Source organism: Homo sapiens, chromosome 16 (genome assembly GCF_000001405.40).
Source record: "Homo sapiens chromosome 16, GRCh38.p14 Primary Assembly".
Taxonomy (NCBI): domain Eukaryota; kingdom Metazoa; phylum Chordata; class Mammalia; order Primates; family Hominidae; genus Homo; species Homo sapiens.
Window position 1 is genome coordinate 31,791,505 of NC_000016.10, and position 26,938 is coordinate 31,818,442.

At 40.1% G+C, this 26,938-nt stretch overlaps 1 long non-coding RNA gene and 3 pseudogenes across 2 annotated transcripts; 2 read left to right on the top strand and 2 right to left on the bottom strand.

The window, feature by feature from the left end:
• Positions 1-287: 287 nt before the first annotated feature.
• On the top strand, positions 288-3,389 carry LOC107983990 (uncharacterized). The gene is made up of 3 exons (NR_171680.1): positions 288-1,226; positions 1,831-1,907; positions 2,198-3,389. It is a non-coding gene; the product is annotated as an uncharacterized LOC107983990 (long non-coding RNA).
• VN1R67P (vomeronasal 1 receptor 67 pseudogene) lies at positions 10,102-10,977 on the bottom strand (annotated as a pseudogene).
• Positions 14,368-15,809, top strand: PPP2CBP1 (protein phosphatase 2 catalytic subunit beta pseudogene 1; annotated as a pseudogene).
• Positions 16,081-17,349, bottom strand: VN1R3 (vomeronasal 1 receptor 3; annotated as a pseudogene). The gene has a single exon (NR_171047.1). The product of NR_171047.1 is annotated as a vomeronasal 1 receptor 3, transcript variant 1, non-coding (transcript).
• Positions 17,350-26,938: the final 9,589 nt, after the last annotated feature.

Consider the following 26,938-nt stretch of genomic DNA (forward strand, 5'->3'; position numbering starts at 1 on the left):
TCTGGCAGTTCTTGCATGTTCTCTGTGGGTTGAGGAGCAGGGAGGTCAATGAGTTAGCAGCAATCACAGGTGGCTTTCAGAGGTTCTTGTGAGGATATATTTTTGGATTTGGGTATTGGTTTTTCAGGACAGAAACAGACAAGTGGCCCATTAGGTGTCTGGAAATTCATAATGCAAAGTCATATCCACAACTTATTGTAAACAGAAACACAGAGAGAAAGAACCAGAGCATGCAAAGTTGATGATGATAATCCAGCTGAATGGGTCAGCTTAGATCATGGATGCTGAGCAGACTCTACAGATCATAGTGGGGCTCCCAGGGTGACTGAAGGGGAATGAGGTAGAGGGAGAGTTTCCCTCTTCAGCTGGACTTTTTGCTGCCTCAAAAATTCAGTTGATTGGGTTAGCTTTACATATGATCTAATCAGTCCAATGCAGTCACATTTGATCTAATCATCTCCCCCACTTTCAAGCTAGGAAAGGATATTTTATTTGGTGTTTATTTTTTCTCTGCATTATTATCTTATCACATATGCCTACATCTAATATAATGAACTATAATTTGATATTTGTCATTTCCAAGCATTTGAGAAATTATAACATCTGTGTGTACAATTTTAACACTACATATAATTTTCTTCATGTGCAAAATATATATACACATGTCAATATGTGGTCTGTCTAATTCTGCATCTTGAAATCTGGGCAGGGTCTTAAATACTTCTAGGTGGGTATTGGAGCACAAATCAGATAAGCATAAGTTCCTTGCATTCCTGTTCCTGTGCCCCCAGCTTTGAATTCCTGCTTATTAACACGATGATGGGGCTCTGCAAGTCTCCCCTTATCTGTATCTAGGTCCCCAGGGCATTCACTGATGGAAAAATTTCTTACTGAGGTCATGATGAGTGGCAGGAGGGAGCAGTCTCTTCAGCCAATAGGACTGACCCATGTCCAGCTTAAGGGCTTAGAAAAGCAGGTTCACAAGAACAACCTGCACCTGATTCTGGGCATGTGAGAGAGAGCAAGCACCTTTCACTGGAGCTTCACCATAGGATGGGGAACTGAAGACCAGACTCCCACTGCCCCTCCATCCAATGCCCCATTGACCCACCTTTTTTCCAACAGGTCTCCTTTACAGAAAGGGGCTTGGATAAGGAGGAAAGACCATCAGAAGAAAAGATAAGACACTCTCTTCTCATTCCAGTAAGAGCCACATGCAAGGCAAGGTAAGGCCTTTGGCTATTCCTATGGAGGTTGGCAAGAGGGGTAGAATTAGGGATACTGATCTGTGTCTTTGGTGGGGTTTCATTTTGAGATTAGAAATGGAAAATGACTTATAGTCATCAGAGAGATTTCAGAAATATGGCGATCATCCCCTGGAATTCTATGCTTCCCATTCACACTCGACACTGGTGAACAGCCTTGATTGAGAGAATGACCCACAAATATGGGTCAAGTATAGACTTTGCAGCTCTGTGCCTAGGAAGAGATGAGTCACCTAAACTTTCTTTTGCACTGAGATCAGAGCCCAATTCAAATGAGGAAGAGAATTCCAAGGAAACTAAACTCAAAGTCAGAAGCAGCACTGCTAAATTATGTAAGATGTGATTCTTCCAAGGTGAGAAGAGATAGTGGATGGGTAAACACAGTCTCCTCTGGGAAGGGAACTGGGAGCTCTTTGGCATCCAGGTTCTTATAAATCTTGGACTCTGGAGAACAGAGAAGAACCGAGTTTTGGTGGCTACCTCAGCTCTGGTGTGTCCAGGATGGACTAGAGTGCCTAAGGTGTTCAGTTGGAGGCAGTCACTCAAACTCCCATTTTATCCACAGAATCAGAGTCCAGCTCAGATGGGGGAACTCTAGGAAGAGAGAAATCCATTCCATGGACAGCTGCCAAGATAGAGCAGGTAGGATCTTGCTTTTTTGTTCCAAAGGGCAGATAAGCAGGTTATTTATACAGAGATTGAGCAGGAAAGGGGTTTCTCAGTGGCTGAGAGGATTTTAGAGATCCTGACATCCAGAAAGCATTTGGGGTCCCAGGAGGGGTTTAGCCTCCCTTGCTTAGGGAGACAGAGGGGGCAGGGAAGGAGGAGGAAAGACAAGTGGGGTTCACCTGAAGGTGCATGGGGACATTCTGGGAATGAGCATCCATGGGAGCTGTTCTGGTAAGTCTCTCACTCACATGCTTCCTCTTCAGGACAGCATCAAGGACATGAGCCAAAAGTGCAAAAGGACTGCTTGACTTTGGAAAAGAAACCAAAGGCCTCTGACACTGTACACATCAGTGAAATGAGGAGACCCATGATGCCTGCTGTGGGGGACCCCCAGAGGCCCACACCGGGCACAGCGAGCGGCCCAGATCTCAGTCTCTAGGAGACCACCCACTACCACTTCAGAAAAGCCTGGTGACCTCTCTGCACACTCCATCTGAAGCCATTTATCACAACACAGCCCAGGTGTGGGAACAGTAGGCCTATTCTCTGCTGACCTGGGAGCAGCTGTCTGAGCTCACCTGGCTCCAGGGGCCTCTGTGCTGTGGTACAAACCTGTGCCATGGCCACCCAGGTGGCCTATGTCTTTCGCACTGAGGGCTGGCTCATCCCAGCCATACTCCCTGGTCCCTAGGGTGGAGAAGCTCAGAACTCCTCCTAGGAAGAAAATGGATCCACCCTTTCCCTGGAGAGGAGATAAAGGAGCCTGTTGGTGGATCAAATGAGGCTTTAGCTGGGGTCGCCCAGGCCCTATTCAACAGAGGACACAGCTGTGTGAGTGAGAACAAAGACCTGCTACTTCTCAGGCAATTTTAGACACACTGTGTTAATACATGACACAACTGGGGGCACTCTTGGGAAAGGAGTTTGAACAATATCCTCAAAGTGGAAACTGTGTTTCGTTTAGGTCTAAAACCACTGACAAATTTTGTATTTCATGTTAGACATTTGATGTTTTTGGATGTTTTATGACAGTCACGCATTTCTTTGTAATCAGAAAATATTAGGGTATAATCATTCATATGTGTTTGTGTATTGAAAAGTACAGCAAAATGAAGATATATGTAGATCCTCCCCCTATAAGTCAAAAAGACTGTAGCTCTTTTCTCTCCCACCCTGAGTCAATAAAGGACTGATATCTACTAACCTTTAATAGCATTCTCTATGGAGAAATGTTGGTATTTTTTCAATTTGAGGAAATGATAAAATCACCATGCTATTGTTTCATTTTCTTTGTTCTAAAACTTTCAGAATGTATTAAGTGCTTGTTGATCATATTTTTATTTATTCTTCAACCTGGATTATATTTTTTGCCTAATTTTAATCTTCCATTTTACAGATTTCAATTGAGCTTATTTTTTAAAACAGGTTGATTAAAGTATAATTAACTTTCAGTAAGCTGCACATATCTAAAAGGTTTATTTTGTTTTGATGTATGTGTATACCTGGGGAATCATCAACACAGTCAAGACAATGAACATATCAATTCCCCCCAGACATCTTATCATGATTACCCCCCATTGCAATTCTTCCTCTGCACTCCTTCCAACCCATCTCTAAGCAACCACTGCTTCCAGTAACAACAGACTGATTTTCACTTTCCAGAATTCTATATAAATAGAATCACACAGCATAAGATCCATTCCCACTGTAGCAGGTATCAACAGTTCATTGCCTTTCAATGCAAAATTGCATTCTAGAGCTTTATTCATTCACTAGTTAAAGACCATGTAAACTGTTTCTAGTTTTTGTCTATTACAAATAAAACTGGCATGAATATTCATGTACAAGTTGCTGAATAGGCATACATTACAATTTCTCTTAAGTAAATACTTCAGAGTTTAATGTTTAAAAAAGGAAACAACCACCAAACTGTTATGGAAAGGGTGGCATCGTTACACATTCCCATGAAGACTGTACGAGGATTCCATTTCCCCTGCATTCTCATCACATTTGGTGTAGTCCCTCTTTTTAATTTTTCTTTTTTTTTTAACTTTTATTTTAGGTTCGGGGGTACATGTGAAGGTTTGTTACATAGGTTGAAAATTTGTTACATAGGTAGATATATGTCACGGGGATTTGTTGTGCAGATTATTACATTACCCAGTTGTTAAGCCCAGTACCGAATAGTTACTTTTTCTGCTCCTCTCCCGCCTCCCAATCTCCACCCTCAAGTACACCCCAGTGTCTCTTGTTCCCTTTTTTGTGTCCATGTGTTCTCATCGTTTAGCTTTCACTTATAAGTAAGAACACATGGTATTTGGTTTTCTGTTCCTATATTAGTTTGCTAAGGATAATAGCTGCCAGCTCTATCCATGTTTCTGTGAAAGACATGATCTTGTTGTTTCTTACGGCTGCGTCGCATTCCATGGTGTATATGTACCACATTTTCTTTATCCAGTCTGTCACTCATTTAGGTTGATTCCATGTCTTTGCTATTGTGAATAGTGCTGCAATGAGCATTCACATGTATGTATGGCAGAATGATTTATATTCCTCTGGGATATATCCAGTAATGGGATTACTAGGTCTAATGGTATTTCTGTTTTTCAGTCTTTGAGGAATCACCATACTACTTTCCACAATCGTTGAACTAATTTACACTCTCACCAACAGTGTATAAGTGTTCCCTTTTCTTCACAACCTCACCAGCATCTGTTATGTTTTGACTTTTTAATAGCCATTCGGACTGGTGTGAGGTGGTATCTCATTGTGTTTTGATTTGCATTTCTCTAGTGATCAGTAATATTGAGCTTTTTTTCAGATACTTGTTGCCCACATGTATGTCTTATTTTGAAAAGTGTGTGTTCATGTCATTTGCTCACTTTTTAATGAGGTTGTTTGTTTTTCTCTTGTAAATTTAAGTTCCTTGTGGATAAGAGACCTTTGTCAGATGCATAGTTTGCAAAAACTTTCTCTCATTCTGTAGGTTGTCTGTTTAATCTGTTGATAGTTTCTTTTGCTGTGCAGAAACTCTTAAGTTTAATTAGATACCATTTATCAATTTTTGCTTTTGTTGCGATTGCTTTTGTGTCTGTCATGAAATATTTGCCCATTCTTATGTCTAGGATGGTATTGTCTAGGATGGTATTGTCTAGGATGTCTTCCAGGGTATTTTATAGTTTTTGGTTTTACATTTAAGTCTTTAGTCTCTTGTGAATTGATTTTTATATATGGTATAAGAAAGGGGTCCAGCTTCAGTCTTCTGCATATGGCTAGCCAGTTATCCCAGCACAATTTATTGAATAGGGATTCTTTTCCCCATTGCTTGTTTTTGTCAGCTTTGTCAAAGATCAGATGGTTGTAGCTGTGTGGCCTTATTTCTGGCCTCTCTATTATGTTCCACTGGACTATGTGCCTGTTTTTTACCAGGACCATGCTGTTTTGGTTACTGTAGCCCTGTAGTATAGTTTGAAGTCAGGTAGCATGATGCCTCCAGCTTTGTTCTTTTTGCGTAGGATTACCTCGGCTATTCAGGCTCTCTTTTGGTTCCATATGAATTTTTAAATAGTTTTTTCTTGTTCTGTGAAGAATTTCATTGGTAGTTTGATAGGAATAGCATTGAATCTGTACATTGCTTTGGGCAGTCTAGCCATTTTAATGATATTGATTTTTCCTATTCATGAGCATGGAATGTTTTTCCATTTGTTTGTGTCATCACTGATTTACTTGAGCAGTGTTTTGTAATTCTCACTGTAGGGGTCTTTCACCTTCCTGGTGAGCTGTATTCCTAGGTATTCTATTCTTTTTGTGGTGATTGTGAACGGGATTGCCTTCCTGATTTGGCTCTCAGCTTGGCTGTTGTTGGTGTACAGGAATGCTAGTGATTTTTGTATGTTGATTTTGTATTCTGAAACTTTGCTGAAGTTGTCTATCAGCTGAAGGAGCTTTTGGGCTGAGACCATGGAGTTATCTAGGTATAGAATTATGTCATCTGCAAACAGGGATAGTTTGACTTCCTCTCTTTCTATTTGAATGCCTTAATTTCTTTGTCTTGCCTGATTGCTCTGTCTGGGACTTTCAATACTATGTTGAATAGGAGTGGTGAAAGTGGGCATCCTTGTTTCTTGCTTGTTTTCCAAGGGAATGCTTCCAGCATTTGCCCATAGCTATAATGTTGGCTGTGGGTTTTTCATGGATGGCTCTAATTGTTTTGAAGTATGTTCCTTTGATACCTAGTTTATGGAGAATTTTTAACGTGAAGCAGTGTTGAATTTTATCAAAAGCCTTTTCTGCATCTATTGAGATAATAATGATGTTTTTGTCTTTGGTTATGTTTATGTGATGAATCACATTTATTAATTTATGTATGTTGAACCAACGTCCGCCTCCTGGGTTCCAGCGATTCCAGTGGATTAGCTGTTTGATGTGTTGCTGGATTTGGTTTGCAACTATTTGTTGAGGATTTTTGCATCAGTATTTATCAAAGATATTGATCCTAAAGTTTTCTTTTTTGTTGTGTCTCTGCCAGGTTTTGGCCTCATAGAATGAGTTGGGGAGGCCTCCCTCCTCAATTTTTTGGAATAGTTTCAGTAGGAATAGTACCAGCTCTCCTTTGTACATCTGGTAGAATTTGGCTGTGAATCCATCTGGTCCTGGGCTTTTTTTGGTTGGTAGGCTATTTATTACTGACTTGATTTTGGAGCTCATTATTGGTCTGTTCAGGGAATTAATTTCTTCTTGGTTCTGTCTTGAGAGGGTGTATACGTCCAGGAATTGATCCATCTTTTTTAGGTTTTCTAGTTTGTGTGCATAGAGGTATTTGCAGGCATTTCTGATGTTTATTTTTATTTCTGTAGGGTCAGTGGTAACATCTCTTTCATTATTTCCAATATATGTTTATTTGGATCTTCTTTCTTTTCTTCTTTATTAGTCTAGCTAGTGACCTATCTTATTAATTTTTTCAGCAAAGCAACTCCTGGATTTGTTGATCTTTTAAATGGCTTTTTCATGTCTTGATTTCCTTCAGTTCAGCTCTGATTTTGGTTATTTCTTATCTTCTGCTAGCTTTAGGGCTGATTTGTTCTTGCTTCTCTAACTCTTTCAGTCGTGATGTTAGGTTGTTAACCTGAGATCTTTCGAACTTTTTGATGTGGCTATTTAGTGCTATGAATTTCCCACTTAACACTACCTTAGCTGTGTCCCAGAGATTCTGATATGTTGCATCTTTGTTCTTATTAGTTTCAAAGAACTTCTTGATTTCTGCCTTAATTTCATTATTCACCCAAAAGTCATTCAGCAGCATATAAGAAAAGCCATAGAAAGTACCTAAAATATGTAAATATGGACATAAGCAAATGGAAAATTACACATTTTTAGGTCGAAAAAATATTATGAACATCAGTTGTGCTTAAGCTAATTTATTAATTTAATTTTGTTCCAATACAGATACCATTAGGTATTAGAGGTAGGCATGTTATTGGGGAAAAAATCTTACAGATGCAAACACAAATAAGCCAAAAAAACTCTAAGGAAAAAAAATAAGATTGGCCATCCCTATGAGACATCTTGATTGATGAAAAGACTGAAAGACCATTGTAGCTAAAAATTCAGACACAGACCAAAGTTAAACAACAGAAATTTGAGCCTCACAGTTAAGAGAGCCTCACAGCTATTGAGGCTGTAAAGTTCAAGATCAATGCATCAGCAAATTTGGTGTCTGATGAGAGCCCTATTTCTCATAGATGGTGTGTCCTCACATGGCAGAAGGGGCAACGGCACTCCCTTCAACCTCCTTCACAAGGGCACTAATTCCATTCATGAGGATGGTGCCCTCCTGGCTTATTCACTTCCCCAAAGATCCCATACCTCATACTATTACATGGGGGATTAAGTTTCCACATATTAATTTGGAGATTGGGGCACACAAATATTCAGACTACAGCAAAGGGTTAAAAAGCAGTAAAAATTACAGTAGAGATAACATCATTAATACTTGGGGTTTGGGAATATGATGTTCCTATCACAAAGGCTAAAACAACAATGTATTTCTTACAACCTGTAACAAAATAAAGCTCCAATAAAAGGTAAATCTGTATAGCAAAAAAATAAATAAGTTTTGATAAGGTTACAATGCTAACGGATTGTACAAGGAACTTTGAGGTTTCTGAGGATTGTCAGGGCCCCAGCATTCCCTCGTATGATATTTTTCCTGAAGTTTCTGACACTCTTCCTCAAACTGAAAGTGAATAAAAATATTTTCCATGTCCTGAGTTCCACATATCCCCAGTGAAAAATGTGAGTCACTGAGAGAGACTCTCTGTCCCTTTCACATACTAGGGATTCACTCACTTTTCTCAGATGAATGCCACCACCCAAGCTGCTTGCCCACCTTCCCTTCCTCAGGATCTGAAGTTAGCTATGCTTCTCTGGTGAACTCTCATATTTCTGCTTGAATAAAAGCTCAGTGTGCCTCTCTATGCACTATTTTGCTATTTCCAACGTGGAAGACAAAAAACAACCAGTATTCCTAATAGCCCCATCATGAATACTACTCATGTACATTTATAAAGGCATGATTAAATTCATTGCTTGATGTTCACATGATGCCATTACTTTAGAGGGCAAAAACCACAACCAACCTAAAAATTCTATCACCCACTCTAATGAATGAACCACAATAACATGCGATCAGGCAGATAAGTTTCCAAACATGTGGAATTCAAAATCTACATAGAAAATAAGTCATGCTATATGATTCCATGTATATAAGATACAAATAGTTGAAAGTACACATAAATTATACTGTTAGGAGTCAGAGTCATGGTTACTCCTGGGGTAGTGACTGGGAAGGGCACAAGGAGGTGGCTGGGGTCTGATGAAGTTCTGTTTTGCAACCTAAGACATGCACACAGAGGTGGGTTCACTTTGTTGAAATTTCATTTAGTTGTGCACTCATGGCCTGTGCAACTATTCCAACTTTTTTAAAAAAAATACATATCATCAATTAAAACACAAAGAGGGAACATAAATGGATTAGTGATTTTTTGTTGTTGTTGTTGTTGTTGTTTGAGATAGGGTTTCACTCTGTCACCTAGGCTGGAGTCAAGTGGTGTGACCATTTGACTCCAGCCTAGGCAAGACAGTGAAACACATGGCCTTGGCCTCCTCCTGAGTAGCTGGGACTTCAGGCATGTGGCACCATGCCTGGCTATGTTTTTAATTTTTTGTAGAGACTGGGTCTCACTGTGTTGCCCAGGCTGGTCTCAAACTCCTGAGCTCAAGCGATCCTCCTGCCTTGGCCTCCCAAAGTGCTGGGATTACAAGCATGAGCCACCTCACCTGGCTGGATTAGTAATTTAATGCCTTAATGTTGTCAAAGTGGAGGTTGAAAGTATTAAATAACTTTATACCATGATTAATATTTTAAAGTTTGTTGTAACCTCTGTTAAAAAGTAAGATCTACTGATATAACCCCCAAATAACAGAGTTAACTATGAATTTTTAAAATATACGTATAACATAGAAGATGTTAAAATAGGAAGAATCAGAAAAGATGATGGGTATTCTGAAGAATACAGAAAGTTGGTATATCCAATGCCAAATATGACCTTTAAAATATTAAACGTAAATAGCTAAATTATGCCTGTCAAAGTCAAATATTATTTGACTATATTCAGTCAGATGTTCCTCCAAGAGATACAACTAAAACATAATCTTTATATGTATTTATGTTTTAGTTATATATCTCTTGGAGTAGAAAAATTAGAAGATACATTATATGTAATTTTAACCAATTAAAATTAAAGTAGAAGAAGTAAAGATACATTATATGTGATTTTAACCAACTAATCAGTGAAGATGGTGATATATCAGATAAAAAAGACAATACAGTTAAAGTAGTTTAACATCATTATAATTAATATTATTTTTACATTTCTTAAAGTATAATCTTCCAATATTATTGCTTGATGAATAGCAAACATAGTCTGATTATCCCCACACAGTTAGACATATGCAGGTGTTTTTCTGCATGTATCACCAATCCCTTGTAACGTCAGTTTCACAACTGTGCTTATAATTCTGTGGGGGATGAGTAAACAACTGGACATTGTGCAAAAGTACACAGTATGCATATAAATGATAAAATCAGCGGATTTTGTATTCTGTGTCAGGCAAAGCAGAGCCTGGAGACACCAGAGTCACAGCTGATGGAAACAAAAAGGCTGAGAGTTGGGGAACACACACCATTGTGAGCAGAAATGCTCACCAGCCACCGCCTAAGAGGAATAAAAGGAGCCAAAAATTGACAAAAGGAAAAGACGATGTAAAAGCATACATAAATGCTCCCCAGGACCAGTATGGTTTAGGTGACTCTGGACTCAGGGGAGGACCTGGACGGCAGGTGGGTCCCATGAGTGTGTTGGACCTGCAGCTTGTGCCGGCGCAGGATGAAAACCATGGAGCCTCTGGCCCAAGCCATAATTCCCAAATCCAAAACATCAGGGAATCAGAACAGCACTGCACACAGGGAGTGTGAGATTTTGACACGAATCATGGCATAACAGTATCCATTATCTATTTTCCTTGTGATGGCTGCATTGAGTTATAGCCAGACGCATAAAGAGGAAAATTATTTACTAGTGTGTTTAGGATCCAGCATGAGAGAATCAAGTGTCCAATGAGCTCGGGAACTATTATTCTGAGCTCTGCCCTACTGGAGTCCCTGGGGAAATAGCGATGGCCTGGAAGACACTCAGGCAGCAAGTGCTGCCAGGAGGAACACCCCTGCCCAGTCTCTGAAGGAAGAATAGAAGTTCACATGAAAAATCATTGAAGTTGTTCAAACCAAAGATGTCACTGTCTGCCAGATTTCTTTAGAGGGAATGACCAAGGAGTTGGCTATGATCAGGTGCATGAGAATCAAATCTGTGCACCTTAACCTGCACCCAGTGAGGAAAAGGGAGACATAATGATAAAGAAGAGAGTTTCCCAGAATTTACAGAGTCAAATGTGTCAGTCTGTCTTCTGCTAAACAATCCATCATGGTTGAGTATCGTTGAACAAAGTGATTCCTGCACCTGCAGATTATTCAGGTGATTATGACATGACCTCTCGGACAGAGTATTCCAGAGAAACAAAACCAATTTAAATTGTTTAAATTTAAATAACTCAAATCATTGAATTAATAAATTATTCTAATTTACTTAAAATAAATACATGCAATGTATTTATACATATTAATATTTAATAAATGTTTATTCATTTTAAGAAATTGGCTCATGTAACTATAGAGGCTGAGAATTCCCATTATCTGCTGCCTTCAAGTCAGAAACCCAGGACACTCAGCGGTGTCACTTGAAGGTTTGAGAACCAGGAGTGCTGAGGGCAATAGAAGATCCCTTCAGGAGTAGCCCCAGATAAGGGACCCCAAAGAGTGACTTCACTTCCTTGACAATAGACCCCAACAGAACTTGGAACACTGGAAACCAGGCACCCACATTCTAGAAACAGTCTCTTCCCAGCTCACTTGGCTGAAGACAATAAAGAGAACTAGATGTCATCCTGCTGATCCCAATTTCCTATGTTTCTGGCACCAGAAAACCCTGAATGATAGGTTTTTCTGAAGCTGCTGACATTGGGTCAGCCCTCAATATCATCACCTCTAGCCATGTTCAGGAGGTACTCAAAGGTAACACTGGCAGCTGAGAGCAGGCCAGTCAATGTCTGGCCACCACCCTAATCCCACCTGGACAGTCACACCCCACCTCCCTATGTGTGTTCGCACAGTGGGGGTGATGTCATGTGGGTCTGGCCTGTCCTGAGCAGACCCAGGTGTTGGGTTGTCAGAAACCCAGTGACCCATCACATTCACTCCTCAGATCATGGCTCAAAAGTCTACAGAGCAGAGACAAGAGATTGACAAAGAGGTGTTGATGAGGTAATGTATTCCATTTCCCTAGGTGAAAGGCAGGCACACCACACTGTGAACAAGGACAAGTGCTGGACTGGAATGAGTGCAGGAGCAAAATGTTCTCTAAGGTGGGCACGGTGGCTCACGCCTGTAATCCCAGCACTTTGGGAGGCCAAGGTGGGGGGTCACCTGAGGTCAGGAGTTCGAGACCAGCTTGGTCAACATGGTGAAACCCTGTCTTTACTAAAAATACAAAAAAAAATTAGCCAGGCATGGTGGTGGGTGCCTGTAATCCCAGCTACTTGCCAGCCTGAAGCAGAATTGCTTAAACCTGGGAGGCAGAGGTTGCAGTGAGCCAAGACCACATCATTGCACTCCAGCCTGGACAACAAGAAAGAAACTCTGTCTCAAAAAAAAAAAAAAAAAAAAGTTATCTAATCCAGAACCTGGAGGGGGCTGGGGAAGGCCTTCTACTGAGACACTACTGTAAATGGCTTCATTCTGTACACACACATACACACACACACACACACACACACACGTGGGTGAACAAGTATGTAAACCTTGATATACAGATGTAGATATTCATTCTATTAGTTCTGTTTCTCTGTCTTCTTGAGTATAGCCATCTTAGTGGGTGTGAATTAACACTTCATTGTGGTTTTGATTTGAATTTCCCTAATGAATAAGAATTCTGAGCATCTTTTCATGTGCTCATTGGCCATTTATGTTTTATTGCAATATCCTCATGCATTGTTATCACCAATAATTAAAACATTCTCTGGTAAAGTATTTTTCTAAGTTAATTTACTTATAAAAATTACAAAGGCATGAAGTGATTTACTCAATGAATGCTGTTGTCCCATTTAATTTTTCATGTCATATGTCATAATATGAGCTTATTCTCTCATTGGCATGTCCTGTATTTCTGAAATGAACTCTTTTCAATCATTTTGTATACCTGTATATTAATTATACATGCAAATCCATGACTTACGCTTGCTTAGTTTTAAGTTTTGACATAATGTATGTATTAGGTATCTTATTATTTGACAGAAATCACTTTTTCCTCTAAGTTTTCTAATTTATTAGCATAAAGTTGTTTGTCTTAGAACGTAGACTTTTTAAAAATCTCCATGAAGTTTTAAATACTGTTTATTTTTTAATATTAAGTATATCTTTTCACATTTTTATTAACATTGCAGTAAGCTCTATTTTATCATTAATTTTATTTTATTCTATTCCATGTAATACTTATTCTAAATTTTTTACTTACATTATACTTTATGATAACGCATTATTTAGGCTAAGCTTCTTTTATTTTTTTGAGACAGTGTCTTGCTCTGTTGGCCGGACTGGAGAGCAGTGGCACAATTTAGGCTTACTGCAACCTCCGCTTCCCAGGTTCAAGCGATTCTCCTCAGCCTCCCAAGTGGCTGGGATTACAGGTGCCCACCACCACGCCTGGCTAATTTTTGTATTTTTAGTAGAGATGGGGTTGTACCCTGTTAGCCAGGCTGGTCTCAAACCCCTGACCTCAGGTAATCTGCCCACCTCAGCCTCCAAAATTGGTGGGATTACAGGCATGAGCCACCTCACCTGGCCAAGGTTAAGCTTCTTTTTATAATTTAATTTCAGAGTTTGACATCAAAAACACATATTGTCAGGCATCTTCTATTGTAGCATTTGAATTTGCAGCCATCTAATTTTCTCTAACTACTTTTGAACAAATACAGTGTACAACTTGAATATGAAGAATTTTTATTGTCTTTTCATCTGAAAAGTTCTAAATATTAATTAGGAATATTGCTCAGTTTTTAGGTTTAGTATTTAAAATTGCTTCATAAGCTATTTAAAAATATTTAATAGTGGCAAGGTTAATCTCTATGATTAAAATATTTTACATTCATTAAAGCTCCCTTTGTGATTGCATTATTTCAATCGTTCTATATTGCTGAGTAATGCAACACATAGCCCAATTTCGATATATGTCCATTAGGCCAAACTTATGCATTGTATTTTTCAAATATTTGAATTTTCAAGACATTTTACCTGCTTTACCTAACAATAATAAGAAAATGTCTGTGGAAATTTTTCACTTCAGCTACATGATTACCCCATTTGTTTTATGATTCTTTCAAATGGGCTTCCTTGAATATTTCAAGGCAGCAATTACCACCAACTCCCTAGAAAAAGGGAAGCATAAGCCTCCCCAGGGTCCCTGGCGTCGGCTCCTCCACCGACGGTGACTGGTTCCACCAGATTCACTTCCCAGAGGTCACCCTGATGCTTATTTCTTCTGAACAGGCTAATTGGGATTATTGCTAATACAGCATAGTCTACCCTCACAGGGTCCCGAAAATTAGGCAGTTTTCTTGATGAGTCTCATATTCATCGGCTGTGAGTCAAATTCTAATGAAAACCTCTTTCTACAGTCCTGTGCTCATTTCACTCCACCCAGACCACTGCATCCATTTTTACCTTAAAATATTTGAAATGGACCACTCTCCTCCCACAAAAAATTGTGCGAGAAGGCAAAGGAAATTTTAACAAAAGGATCAGATGTGCAAGAGGTTCGTTGCCCTGATACTGTCTGTGGAGATGTGCATGGTCAATTACATGATCTTATGGAACTCTTTAGAATTGGTGGAAAATCACCAGATACAAACTACTTATTAATGGGTGACTATGTAGACAGAGGATATTATTCAGTGGAGACTGTGACTCTTCTTGTAGCATTCATTATCCAGAATGCATTACAATATTGAGAGGAAATCACAAAAGCCAACAAATTACCCAAGTATATGGCTTTTATGATGAATGTCCGCGAAAGTATGGGAATGCCAATGTTTGAAAATACTTTACAGATCTCTTTGATTATCTTCCACTTATAACTTTAGTAGATGGACAGATATTCTGCCTCCATGGTGGCCTGTCTCCATCCACATACACACTGGATCATATAAGAGCCCTGGGTCATTTACAAGAAGTTCCACATGAGGGCCCAATGTATGATCTATTACGGTCAGATCCAGATGATCGTGGTGGATGGGGTATTTCACCCTGTGTGCTGGCTACACATTTGGACAAGACATTTCTGAAACCTTTAACCATGCCAATGGTCTCACACTGGTTTCTCGTGCCCACCAGCTTGTAATGGAGGGATACCATTGGTGTCATGATCAGAATGTGGTTACTATTTTCAGTGCACCCAATTACTGTTATTGTTGTGGTAACCAGGCTGCGATCATGGAACTAGATGACGCTTTAAGATATTCCTTCCTTCAGTTTGACCCAGCACTTTGTTGTGGCGAGCCTCATGTTACACAGCACACCCCAGACTACTTCCTATAAATTTCTCCTGGGAAACCTGCCTTTGTATGTGGAAGTATACCTGGCTTATTAAAATATATGTATTTAAAAACAAAAAGCAACAGTAATCTATGTGTTTCTGTAACAAATTGGGATCTGTCTTGGCGTTAAACCACATCATGGACCAAATGTGCCATACTAATGATGAGCATTTAGTACAATTTGAGACTGAAATTTAGTACACTATGTTCTAGATAGGTCACTCTAACAGTTTGCCTGCTGTATTTATAGTAACCATTTTCCTCCAGACCGTTCAAGCAGAAAAGGTAACTAATTGCTTCATCTCCTTTTGTGCTTATTTGGAAATTTTAGTTACAGTGTTTAACTGGCATGGATTAATAGAGTTGGAGTTTTATTTTTAAGAAAAATTCACAAGCTAACTTCCACTAATCCATTACCCTTTATTTTATTGAAATGTATAATTAACTTAACTGAAGAAAGGGTTCTTCTTGGGAGTACGTTGTCGTAACATTTACAGATTTCCCTTCATTTAAACTAAATTACTGTTGTATGTTGATCTGCTGCATATTTCTGTCATGACAGTGCTTGCATCCTATTTGGTGTAGTCAGCAAATAAACTTTTCATTTTAAACGAACAAATATAAGAAGCATGAATACAGGATCTACACATCAGAAAAATTATAGAGGGACAGAATTTTTAAAAAATAACCAAAACTAGTCTCAATAAAGTATAATTATCAAGGACAAAAAGAAAATTTTACAACTTGAAAATAGGAAAAAATGAAGATTAATTCAAAACAAAAAAGGACATGAACTATGACTTTCTTCTCACTTTCTTCATTGATCATTACTTAAGCTTCTTTATTTCATCAAACTTTTCTTACACTGCTGTGCCCAGTTAATTCCATGACATTTTTTATTAATTGGTTTAAAGTTGCATTGTTCCAACTTATTAGAGGCCCATTTTTAATTAATAATTTGCCTCTTAACTTCTCCATTGCAACATTAACAAAATGAAAATTATGAAATTACAAACAAAATGAAAATTATGAAAGCACTTTGCAAAAACATTTCATCTGTAACTGTTGTTTATGATACGTGAAAAATCCTTGAAGGGCAAAGACGGATTCTGAGTCTTATATACACTGCAATTGACTGCCCATTGCGGTGCTTAACCTGCAGGAAGAAATCAACAAACGGCCATTCATTATACAAAAAGAAGACAATCCACATAAATCGGAGAACTATCTGACCAGCTTAGGAAACTGTGGATTCCTTCCACAGCAGGCAGAGCCCAGCCTGGGTATCCTGGGATGGCGGCTCATGAGCACAAAGGGGCTGACCATGGGAAAACAGGCAGTGATCAGTGCAGAGGTGTTCAACAGCCACCAACTGGGATTAGGAAAAAGAGACATATGTAAAGATGGAGGAGAGCGAGTAAAGTAACACAAGGTGCTCACCAGGACCAGGATGCTTTGGGTGACTCTGGACTCAGGGGAGGATCTGGCGGAGAGGTTGGTCCCATGAATGTGCTGGACCTGCTGCTTGTGCCTGTGCAGGATAAAAACCATGGAGCCACTGGCCAAGGTCATGAGCCCCAAACACAAAACATCAAGGGATGATAACAAGACAATATGTAATGAATGTGGAATTCTGCTCCTACTTCCTCCAGAACAATATCCATAATCATTTGTCTTTGTGCTATTTATGCTGTTCCACTTGCCAGTCACATGTAGAAGAACAGTAATATTTACCAGCGTGTTCAGAATCCAGCACAGGACCAGGATAAAAGACCTGATGTATTTGTGAGCATGTAGCTTCAGCTCTGCCCACCTGAATTCACTGGGGCTGATGGTGATGACCTGGAAGACACTCAGTGCACACAGCCCTGCCCACTCTGTGAACATAAAACACAAATTTGCATCCAATATCACTGAGGGAATCTTTCAACCCAAAAGCAGCCATTGTTTGTGGGATTCCTTTAGAGAGTATAACCAAGGAGTTGGCTATGGTCAGGTGCTTGAGAATCAGATCTGTGGACTGTAACATACCTCTGGTGAAACAAAGGAAACTATAGTGGTAGAGAAGAAAGAAATTCCCCAGGAATCCGACCATGATCTGAGATAATAAGATCATGCCTATTGCAAAATCCTTGGAGGCCATTTGTCATTTTTCAGTGACTGATAATTACATTCAAAGTGAGAGAACCCTGTGTGGAAACATAAAGTTTCACTTTTGCAAATAAAATCCACTATTGTACACTTACCATTGTTTCCAACTTAGACATTTTCTTATTAGACCCTGTTTTTTAAATAAGAGTTTTGCTCTAAAAAGAAGAACATATGCATCCCCATGAGAGGAGTACTATATTAGTGTTTTGCATGTAACTTTTACAATAATTCTGTGGTATAAGTGCTTTACTATTTCCATTTTACAGGTAAGAAGATCTTACACAAGGAAGCTTAATGAATTTTCTAAAGTAACTGCTTTGTAAGAGGCAGAATCAAAATTGGACAATGTGTTTAATCACTGTGTGTCTCACCCTTGGACATAGTATTTTTTTAATGCTTCACACATTTCATGTTGTATATATTGTCGCTTTCTTTAAACCTGGATGTAGTTTTTTCTTCATTTTTGATTGTGGCAATTTCTCATTTAAATCTAAGTGCTTATTTCATGAGCAAATATCACCTATAATGATTCAGAAATCCAAGTAGAATATAGATGCACTGATTTAGTATAATCCTAAAAGAATAATCATACAAGACCAAATGATATTTATTGAATGCTTAAATGATTTCATGCTGAAATTAAAAAAGAAGATTCTTTCTCATCTTAACCAAGAAGGATACAGAAATGACTGTTGCTAAGCAAGGGGTCAAGGGACATGAGTAGGAGATAAAACAGTGCAAAGGAGAAACAGGTTGTCATGAATTACAGATAAATTTAGTATTTGTTTATGAATACAAAAATATCAAATGAAATTATTTCAGGCTGGGCACCATGGCTCTCATCTATAATCCCAGCACTTTGGGAGGCCAAGGTGGGCAAATCATTTGAGGTCAGGAGTTCGAGACCAGCCTGGCCAACATGATGAAACTCCATCTCTACTAAAAATACAAAAATTAGCTGGGCATGGTGGTGCATGCACCTGTGGTCCCAGCTACTTGGGAGGCTGAGGCAGGAGAATTGCTTGAACCCCGGAGGCGGAGGCTGCAGTGAGCTGAGATCCCACCACTGTACTCCAGCATGGGTGACAGAGAAAGACTCCATCTCAAAAAAAAAATTATTTCAATGTCAGAATTGTTAGGTATATTAAAATATAAGTCTGTTATGTAAAAGGAAAACTCGAGGTAGGGAAAATTATTCACTGAATTAAGTGTTACTAAGATGAGTATTGAGCCTAAGAATGGCTTCAGAACATTTTTGAAGACAGAGTAAATATTACCAAATAATTTACTTCAGAAAACGACTGAAGTCCTTGATTTTTGTTCTAATATGAAAACCTAAGGTCATCAAGATACCTTTCCTTGACCGCTCCTCCCCTGACTTCATGAAAGAATATGGTCTTTTCGTCATTCTCAGAGACCAGATGTTTCCTGTCACCACACATCACGGTCTCCATTAGGTACTTTATATGTCCAGAGTAGGTTAAAGCCCTATGTTTAATACTTTTGAGAAGAATAAGATAATTTAATCAGCTACATCTTATACATTATCACAGGCATGAAGGAATTGTAGAAATGCTTCCATTCATCCTAGAAATCTTTCTGATTCTTGTGGAATTGATAGAACAGCTAGCGGATTAATTTCCAAATTATTCTAGGAAACTTTTTTAAAAAATGCATTCTTCCCACTTAACAGGTAAGGAGATCTTAGACAAGAAGGATCAACAAAAACAGATTTTGGGGGCCAGGCACGGTGGCTCAGGCCTGTAATCCCCACAATTTGGGAGGCCGAGGCTGGTGGATCACCTGAGATCAGGGCTTCAAGACCATCTTGACCAACATGGCGAAACCCCATCTCTACTAGAAATACAAAAAATTAGCCGGGCGTGGTGGCAGGCGCCTGTAATCCCAGCTATTCAGCAGTCTGAGGCAGGAGAATTGCTTGAACTTGGGAGGCAGAGGTTGCAGTGAGCTGAGACTGCAACATTGCATTCCAGCCTGGGTGACAGTGCAAGAATCCGTCTTAAATTAAAAAAAAAAAACTTAAAAACAGATTTTTGGCTTCTTCCATCAAAAACCGACAATGACAAGCATGAGGATTTTGTTAAGTGAGCTGCAGCTGGGGACTGGCTCATGCTCTTGGAACTTTGCTCCCTCTCCACAACTTAGCCCATGACCCAGCCATTATTTCCTTTCCCCACATGGCCTTGACACTGGTCAGTTTCTGGCCCAGTGGAGTCCTCTTTCCACACCAGAGCATTTACCCCACCTCCTGACAACTTCCTAACCTTACAGGTGCTCTCTCACAGATCAAAATGTAACACACCCACCAGGCGCCTCCCTGCTGCTGGGCTGTGGAAACCAGTGACTGTCACGGCCAGGGAGTGTGTGGAGGGAGGCGGCCAGGTCTGAGATATGGGCTCGGGACCCTGCGACCTCACCTCCCCACCGCACTGCAATTATACTTTACCTGTGGCAGCAATGACAGTACACACTTGGGGAATTGAAAATATTTTTGAAAACCTTTGTCCCAGTTACAATTACCAAAAACAATGACAACTTCCCTGCAGCACCTCCAGAGAGATGGCAGTGCCTGGAGAGGCTCTGCTTTTCCATGATCCTTTGAGGCAGACAGGGGCTATCTTGGAGGAAGCAGAAAATGCGGAGTCGGAGACAGAAGGGGATGACAATGAAGCGCGGTGGGTGCTGGATTCTGTGCCTCCTGGGATGTGTTTTTGCTGAAACTCTCATTTTCTGTTACTCCCCAAATTCTTTAAATGAACAATCATTGAATTATAAATAGAGAAATGGGATCACACAAGTAACTTGAGAAGTATTTGTCAACAGTTTACAGTGCCAGGAAGAACGTGAGGTTCAATATTGACCAAGAAAATAGAGACATCTGTGTAATTCAATGCAAGTTGATACACACATGTAGACTGCATATGTATGTGTGTGTGTGTGTGTGTGTGTGTGTGTGTGTGTGTGTGTTTGGAATATATGTTTTATCAAAATGTAACTCAATAGAGATAGACTCTAAACTGAGCAATATTCATAGAAGAAACAAAGACATTTAATAAGGAATTTCCTCACACACACACAAACACCAAGTTTATGTAGTTGAAAGGGAAATTCTACCGATAAAGTAATCCATAAACCAATGCTACTTAAACTTCTCAAGAGTTATAGTGTGGTCAATCTTTCCTGAAATACTTTTTAGGAAGGGTTTATAAAGGTGATACTCGAACCTTGCCTAGATTTAGCCATATGGAATACTATAGACAAATAGAACATGCAAATTTAAGAGTGAAAATATTAAATATTAGAAACCATTGCATCAGTATATTGATGCATAATCAATCACCCTTTATCTTATAAAGGGAAGTATGATTCAATATTAAGAAATTCAATGATGAAATTAATCACATTAATTGAATGAGAATGTCATGTGACTATGTTCATCAATGCAAAAAAAATTGGCAGAATTCTACAGAAAATTGTGTTTAATTTAGTAAGAAATTGGTGGAAAGATTTCTGAAAAACATGAAAATAGATTTATACAAATGAAAAATAATGCCACCAAATGTTTGGGTAGGAGAATTCAACAGTATTGGGAAGTCAATAATCTTTAAAGAAATGTATATGTTGAGTTTGACCCCAATATAATACCATGTGCTTGTGTTCTGAAGGTCTTAAAAATGTATTGCTATGAAAAATAAACAAAAAAATCCACAAACAATTTGAAATGAAAAAAGAAAAAGGCCAGGGGTGGTGGCTCATGCCTATAATCCCAGCATTTTGGGAGGCTGAGGTGGGCAGATCACATGAGGTCAGGAGTTCAAGACCAGCCTGTCCAACATGGTGAAACCCCATCTCTACTAAAAATAAAAAATTAGCCAGGTGTAGTGGCACATGCCTGTAGTCCCAGCTGATCGGGAGGCTGAGATTAACAGGAGTAAGGAGATTTTGGGCTGAGACAATGGGGTTTTCTAGATATACAATCATGTCATCTGCAAACAGGGACACGATTTGACTTCCTCTTTTCCTAACTGAATACCCTTTATTTCCTTCTCCTGCCTAATTGCCCTGGCCAGAACTTCCAACGCTATGTTGAATAGGAGTGGTGAGAGAGGGCATCCCTATCTTGTGCCAGTTTTCAAAGGGAATGCTTCCAGTTTTTGTCCATTCAGTATGATATTGGCTGTGGGTTTGTCATAGATAGCTCTTATTATTTTGAGATACGCCCCATCGATACCTAATTTATTGAGAGTTTTTAGCATGAAGGGTTGTTGAATTTTGTCAAAGGCCTTTTCTGCATCTATTGAGATAATCATGTGGTTTTTGTCTTTGGTTCTGTTTATATGCTGGATTACATTTATTGATTTGCGTATATTGAACCAGCCTTGCATCCCAGGGATGAAGCCCACTTGATCATGGTGGATAAGCTTTTTGATGTGCTGCTGGATTCAGTTTGCCAGTATTTTATTGAGGATTTTTGCATCAATGTTCATCAAGGATATCGGTCTAAAATTCTCTTTTTTGGTTGTGTCTCTGCCCGGCTTTGGTATCAGGATGATGCTGGCCTCATAAAATGAGTTAGGGAGGATTCCCTCTTTTTCTATTGATTGGAATAGTTTCAGAAGGAATGGTACCAGTTCCTCCTTGTACCTCTGGTAGAATTTGGCTGTGAATCCATCTGGTCCTGGACTCTTTTTGGTTGGTAAGGACACATTCAAAGCAGTGTGTAGAGGGAAATTTATAGCACTAAATGCCCACAAGAGAAAGCAGGAAAGATCCAAAATTGACACCCTAACATCACAATTAAAAGAACAAGAAAAGCAAGAGCAAACACATTCAAAAGCTAGCAGAAGGCAAGAAATAACTAAAATCGGAGCAGAACTAAAGGAAATAGAGACACAAAAAACCCTTCAAAAAATTAATGAATCCAGGAGCTGGTGTTTTGGAAAGATCAACAAAATTGATAGACCGCTAGCAAGACTAATAAAGAAGAAAAGAGAGAAGAATCAAATAGACGCAATAAAAAATGATAAAGGGGATATCACCACCGATCCCACAGAAATACAAACTACCATCAGAGAATACTACAAACACCTCTACGCAAATAAACTAGAAAATCTAGAAGAAATGGATAAATTCCTGGACACACACACCCTCCCAAGACTAAACCAGGAAGAAGTTGAATCTCTGAATAGACCAATAACAGGCTCTGAAATTGTGGCAATTGTTTGGTTTTTTAAAAAATATATAGTGGTTGGCCGGGTGCGGTAGCTCATGCTTATAATCCAGCACCTTGGGAGGCTGAGGCAGGGGTATCAGGAGGTCAGGAGATCAAGACCATCCTGACTAACATGGTGAAACCCCTTCTCTACTAAAAATACAAAAAAATTAGCCAGGTGTGGTGGTGGGTGCCTGTAGTCCCAGCTACTCCAGAGGCTGAGGCAGGAGAATGGTGTCAACCTGGGAGGCGCAGCTTGCAGTGAGCAGAGATCACACCACTGCACTCCAACCTGGGCGACAGAGCAAGACTCTGCCTCAGAAAAAAAAAAAAAAAAAAAAAAATATATATATATATATATATATGTGTATATATACACACACACACATATATATGTGTATATATACACTCACACATATATATGTGTATGTATATATATTTATATATATATGGTGGTCAGGGCCAAATCACCACCCCATTAATATTGTGTTGGACACATTCAAAAGAGTGATATGCAGTTTTGTTTTTTGTTTTTGTTTTTTTTTTAGACGGAGTCTTGCTCTGTCCCCAGGCTGGAGTACAGTGGCATGATCTCAGCTCACTGCAATCTCCCCCTCCTGGGTTCAAGTGATTCTCCTGCCTCAGCCTCCCAAGTAGCTGGGATTACAGGCACACGCCACCATGCCCAGCTAATTTTTGTATTTTTAGTAGTGTTTGAAATGCTTGTTCCCCAGTGCCGTAAAGAAATAACACTTGAACATAAATTTAATTTATTTAGTAAGGCCATTTTTATTTATTGCAGAAAAAGTACACTCGCCGGCAGTTTTGCCACGAGAGTACACTGAACAAAGGAGACAAAGTCATTTATAACCTGACGCATCCACCCTACTGCTGTGTCCGGTTTTCACTGGCTGGAATGGGACCTCACATTCTGTATTTGTCCCAATTGGCTAGAAACTTAGAACTTTTAAAAAGAGGCAAAGGTAGAGGAGAAAAAAGGAAGGAGGAAGTAACTTGTGGAATGCTGAGAAAGGTAAAAACACTCTTAAATAAGGAAGAGGAACAGGCTATGACCTAATGCTTGCTTGGACCAGTATAAGCATGCCAGACAAATATTTAGGCTAAATTGTGAGAGCTAAGAACATAAAGTATATTGATTTCTTTATTACAGCTAGCAGATATTTAAGAATGTTAGCACAAGTCTTTGAATAAATTTTGCTTCTAAGAGAAGTTACTATTTATTCCTAATTAGATGGGGAGGAGAGTCTTTGAAGAGGAACCTCTACTTTACTTTTTACAGTAGAGACGGGGTTTCACCATGTTGGCCAGGATGGTCTCAATCTCCTGACCTCACGATCTGCCCGCCTCGGCCTCCCAAAGTACCGGGATTACAGGCGTGAGCCACTGTGCCTGGCCGTGCGGTGTTTTAATGTGCTTGAATCCCGCCACAATTAAAATCATTTGCTATGATTTAAGTGTATGATGCAAAAATAAGTGTCTACAAAACCTGCGTGGGAGTATACACAAAGATTCTTTAGGGGGATGGGACAAAGAATTTGAAGACAATTAGTTTAAAGGAAAGAATATCTGAAAGTCTAATCCCTAGCTGATGTTACTTTTCCTCCTGAAACATGCAATGGGGCTGCCCAGGGCTTTGTCTCCATTTGTTCCATTTTCCTGTAGGAAAATAAGACTTGGTTCTCATCATAATTTTACCAGTCATGACCTACATGGGCACAAGGAAGTTCCAGAGGATGTTTTAGGCTCCAGGAGCCACTTACAGGATGTTTCTTTCCAAGGAAAATGTTCATGTCATGAATTTTATTTCACTAACATAATTTGAACATACAGGTCTACCTTTAAATTATGGGCCAGATGACCCCAGTTTATCTACTGGGATATACCTGTATTTGCTTAAAGGAGTGCAGTCTTCTGTCAGGGCAGATGTCCTTTCTACTGTGGAGAATTGCATTCTGAGACCCTATGAGTCTGAGCATGTCTGTAAGGGGCTGCTGCTGTCTATTATTAGGGCGGCCTCTTTAGCTTTGGCTCTATACCATGTGGCTTGAAGATTTTCCTTGAATTTGACCTGAGCCCCTGACCCCACCCACATTGCTGGGGAGGAGGGGCCCGTTCTGGACTCTGGCAGCTGTAACTCCTGACCCCCGGTCTTGCTTGCAGCGGAAAAGGAGAGGCAGAAGAGGGAGGTGCACACTCAGCCACTCTGGGCATCCTTCCTGGGTGGACTGGGCCCCCTGCAGGGCCTGCTCTCACCTACCCAGGAGCACAGCTGATCTCGGCTGGGTCTCCCTCAGCACACTCAGGATGTGTGGGGCAGGTGTCTGCGAGTCCCCGGGGGACTCAGGTTCCTGGCCAGTCTCACTGCCCCCTGCCCCAGCATTGAGACCCTCATGTGGCTGCAGATGTGGCTGGTAGTGCCAATCAAGGGAGCCTCCGTCTTCCCAAACTTAAATTTCCCCTCCCATAACCTATAACTTCAGCCCCCTCCATTTTCTGAGCTAAGCTCCAATTAGTGGAAACAAAGTCAAGTGGGAGTCAGGGGACAGGAAAGTGGCCCAGGGGTGGGGCAGAAGAGGGGGAAGGGACAAGTCTCTCTAGAATGGATCCAGAGCGAGCTCCTCCCTCCTGCAAGTAGCCACGCTGCCGAGACGCTGAACTTCAGATACGCAAGACCCCTGTCTCCTCCCCAGCCCTGGGACCCTCTGGTGGCTGCAAGTCCTGATTGCTGTGCCAGTCGCAGCAGGAACAGGCCCCCAAAATGTCACATCTCCAGGAAATAAGACCAAGGTTCCACCTAACCAGTTCAGCACCTAACTCATTTCCACCTAACCAGTTTACCTCTCTCCCAAAGTATTGGCAGTGGAAACCATGGGCCAAACTATGTAATGTGAAACCTACAACCTGCTTTTTGCCATGATTCTAACCTGGTACCACCATGAGCAAGTCAGGGTCCCACTTTGACTGATGGTGGTATTTGTGTCATCATTTCCAATCAGATTTCTGGAGAAGACTCTTCTTTCACTGATGGTTGAGTTCTTCATTGTAGTCCTCTTGGTGGAAGAAACATGAGAGCTTTTGGCCTTCCTGGAAGTCCAAACAGTTACCACATCAGTTCTCTTTTCCTCCATCTGGCTCTGGCTAATTTATTCCTCAGCTGAAGCAGAGCCTGCCTCGATGAGGGAGTTCCTATTAAGTTTCTTAATTTAAGAGACATCACCAGTTGTGAATTCCTCTGTAAATCAGTGGTGCTTCATTTTTGTTACAGAATGAGTTTGTGATCCTGGTTTTCTACAATTCTTTAGAAAATGTGTTTTTGTAATCTCACAGTCAACCCTTCCTTCATTGACTCATCTAGCATGCTAAACGGGAATCAGTTTCCCCTGCTATTCTCAAGACACTGGGTTGAGAGAAAAGACTTCAGTTCTTCACTACGTCTCACTAATGTTACCCTGAAATTCATTATAGTCCAGGTAGTTGGATTAGTTCAAACTGTGCCAGGAAGTTTTGAGGAATCAACAAAATTAGATGTTTTTTCTTTTCTTTTTTTAAGAGATGGGGTCTCACTATGTTGCCCAGGCTGGTCTTGAACTTCTGGGCTCAAAGGATCCTCTAGTCTCTGCCTTCCAAAGTGCTGGAATTACAGGCATGAGCCATTGTGTGTGGCTTCAATGCTAGACGTGTTCTTGGCAGCATTGTCTTCTAAGGCATCTGAGGCAGCACCATCTCCTGTGAGTTTCCTGGCATGTACCAGAGGCCTTCATAAAACTTTTCCTTAATGAGCTTTGAAAGGGCATTGGAATCTTGATCTTTCCCATCTGGTAATGAATTATTTTTTAAGAAACATTAAGTGTAAGAAATAAATACCTACACACTGGCCATGCGGTTTGGCAACTTTGTGAGCCTCAGTTTCCAAGTGAGTAATATCCCTCTAATTAAAAGTTCTCACAACTTAAAGTGCTTGTTAATTGTCCATGTCATTACAGGTTAAATTATGGTTCTATTCAGCTGACTGTGAGATGGAGAGATTATCCTTGACTATCCTGGTGGGTGCAGCAAAATCACAAGGGTCCTTAGAAGTGAAAGGATGCAGGAGAGAGTCGGCCTGGTGTGATGTGAGAAAGACTGGACCTGGTGGTCATTGCTGGCTTTCAAGCTGGAAAGGGACCAGGAGTGAAAGAATGTGGGTTCTTCTATAGAATGAAAGAAGAAAGAGAAAGAACTCTTTTCCAGAGACTCCAAGGGGAACACAGCCTAGAGGACAACTTAATTTTAGCCTAGTGAGTCTCATTTCAGATTTCTGACCTGTAAGTCCATAAGATCATAAATTTGTTTGCTT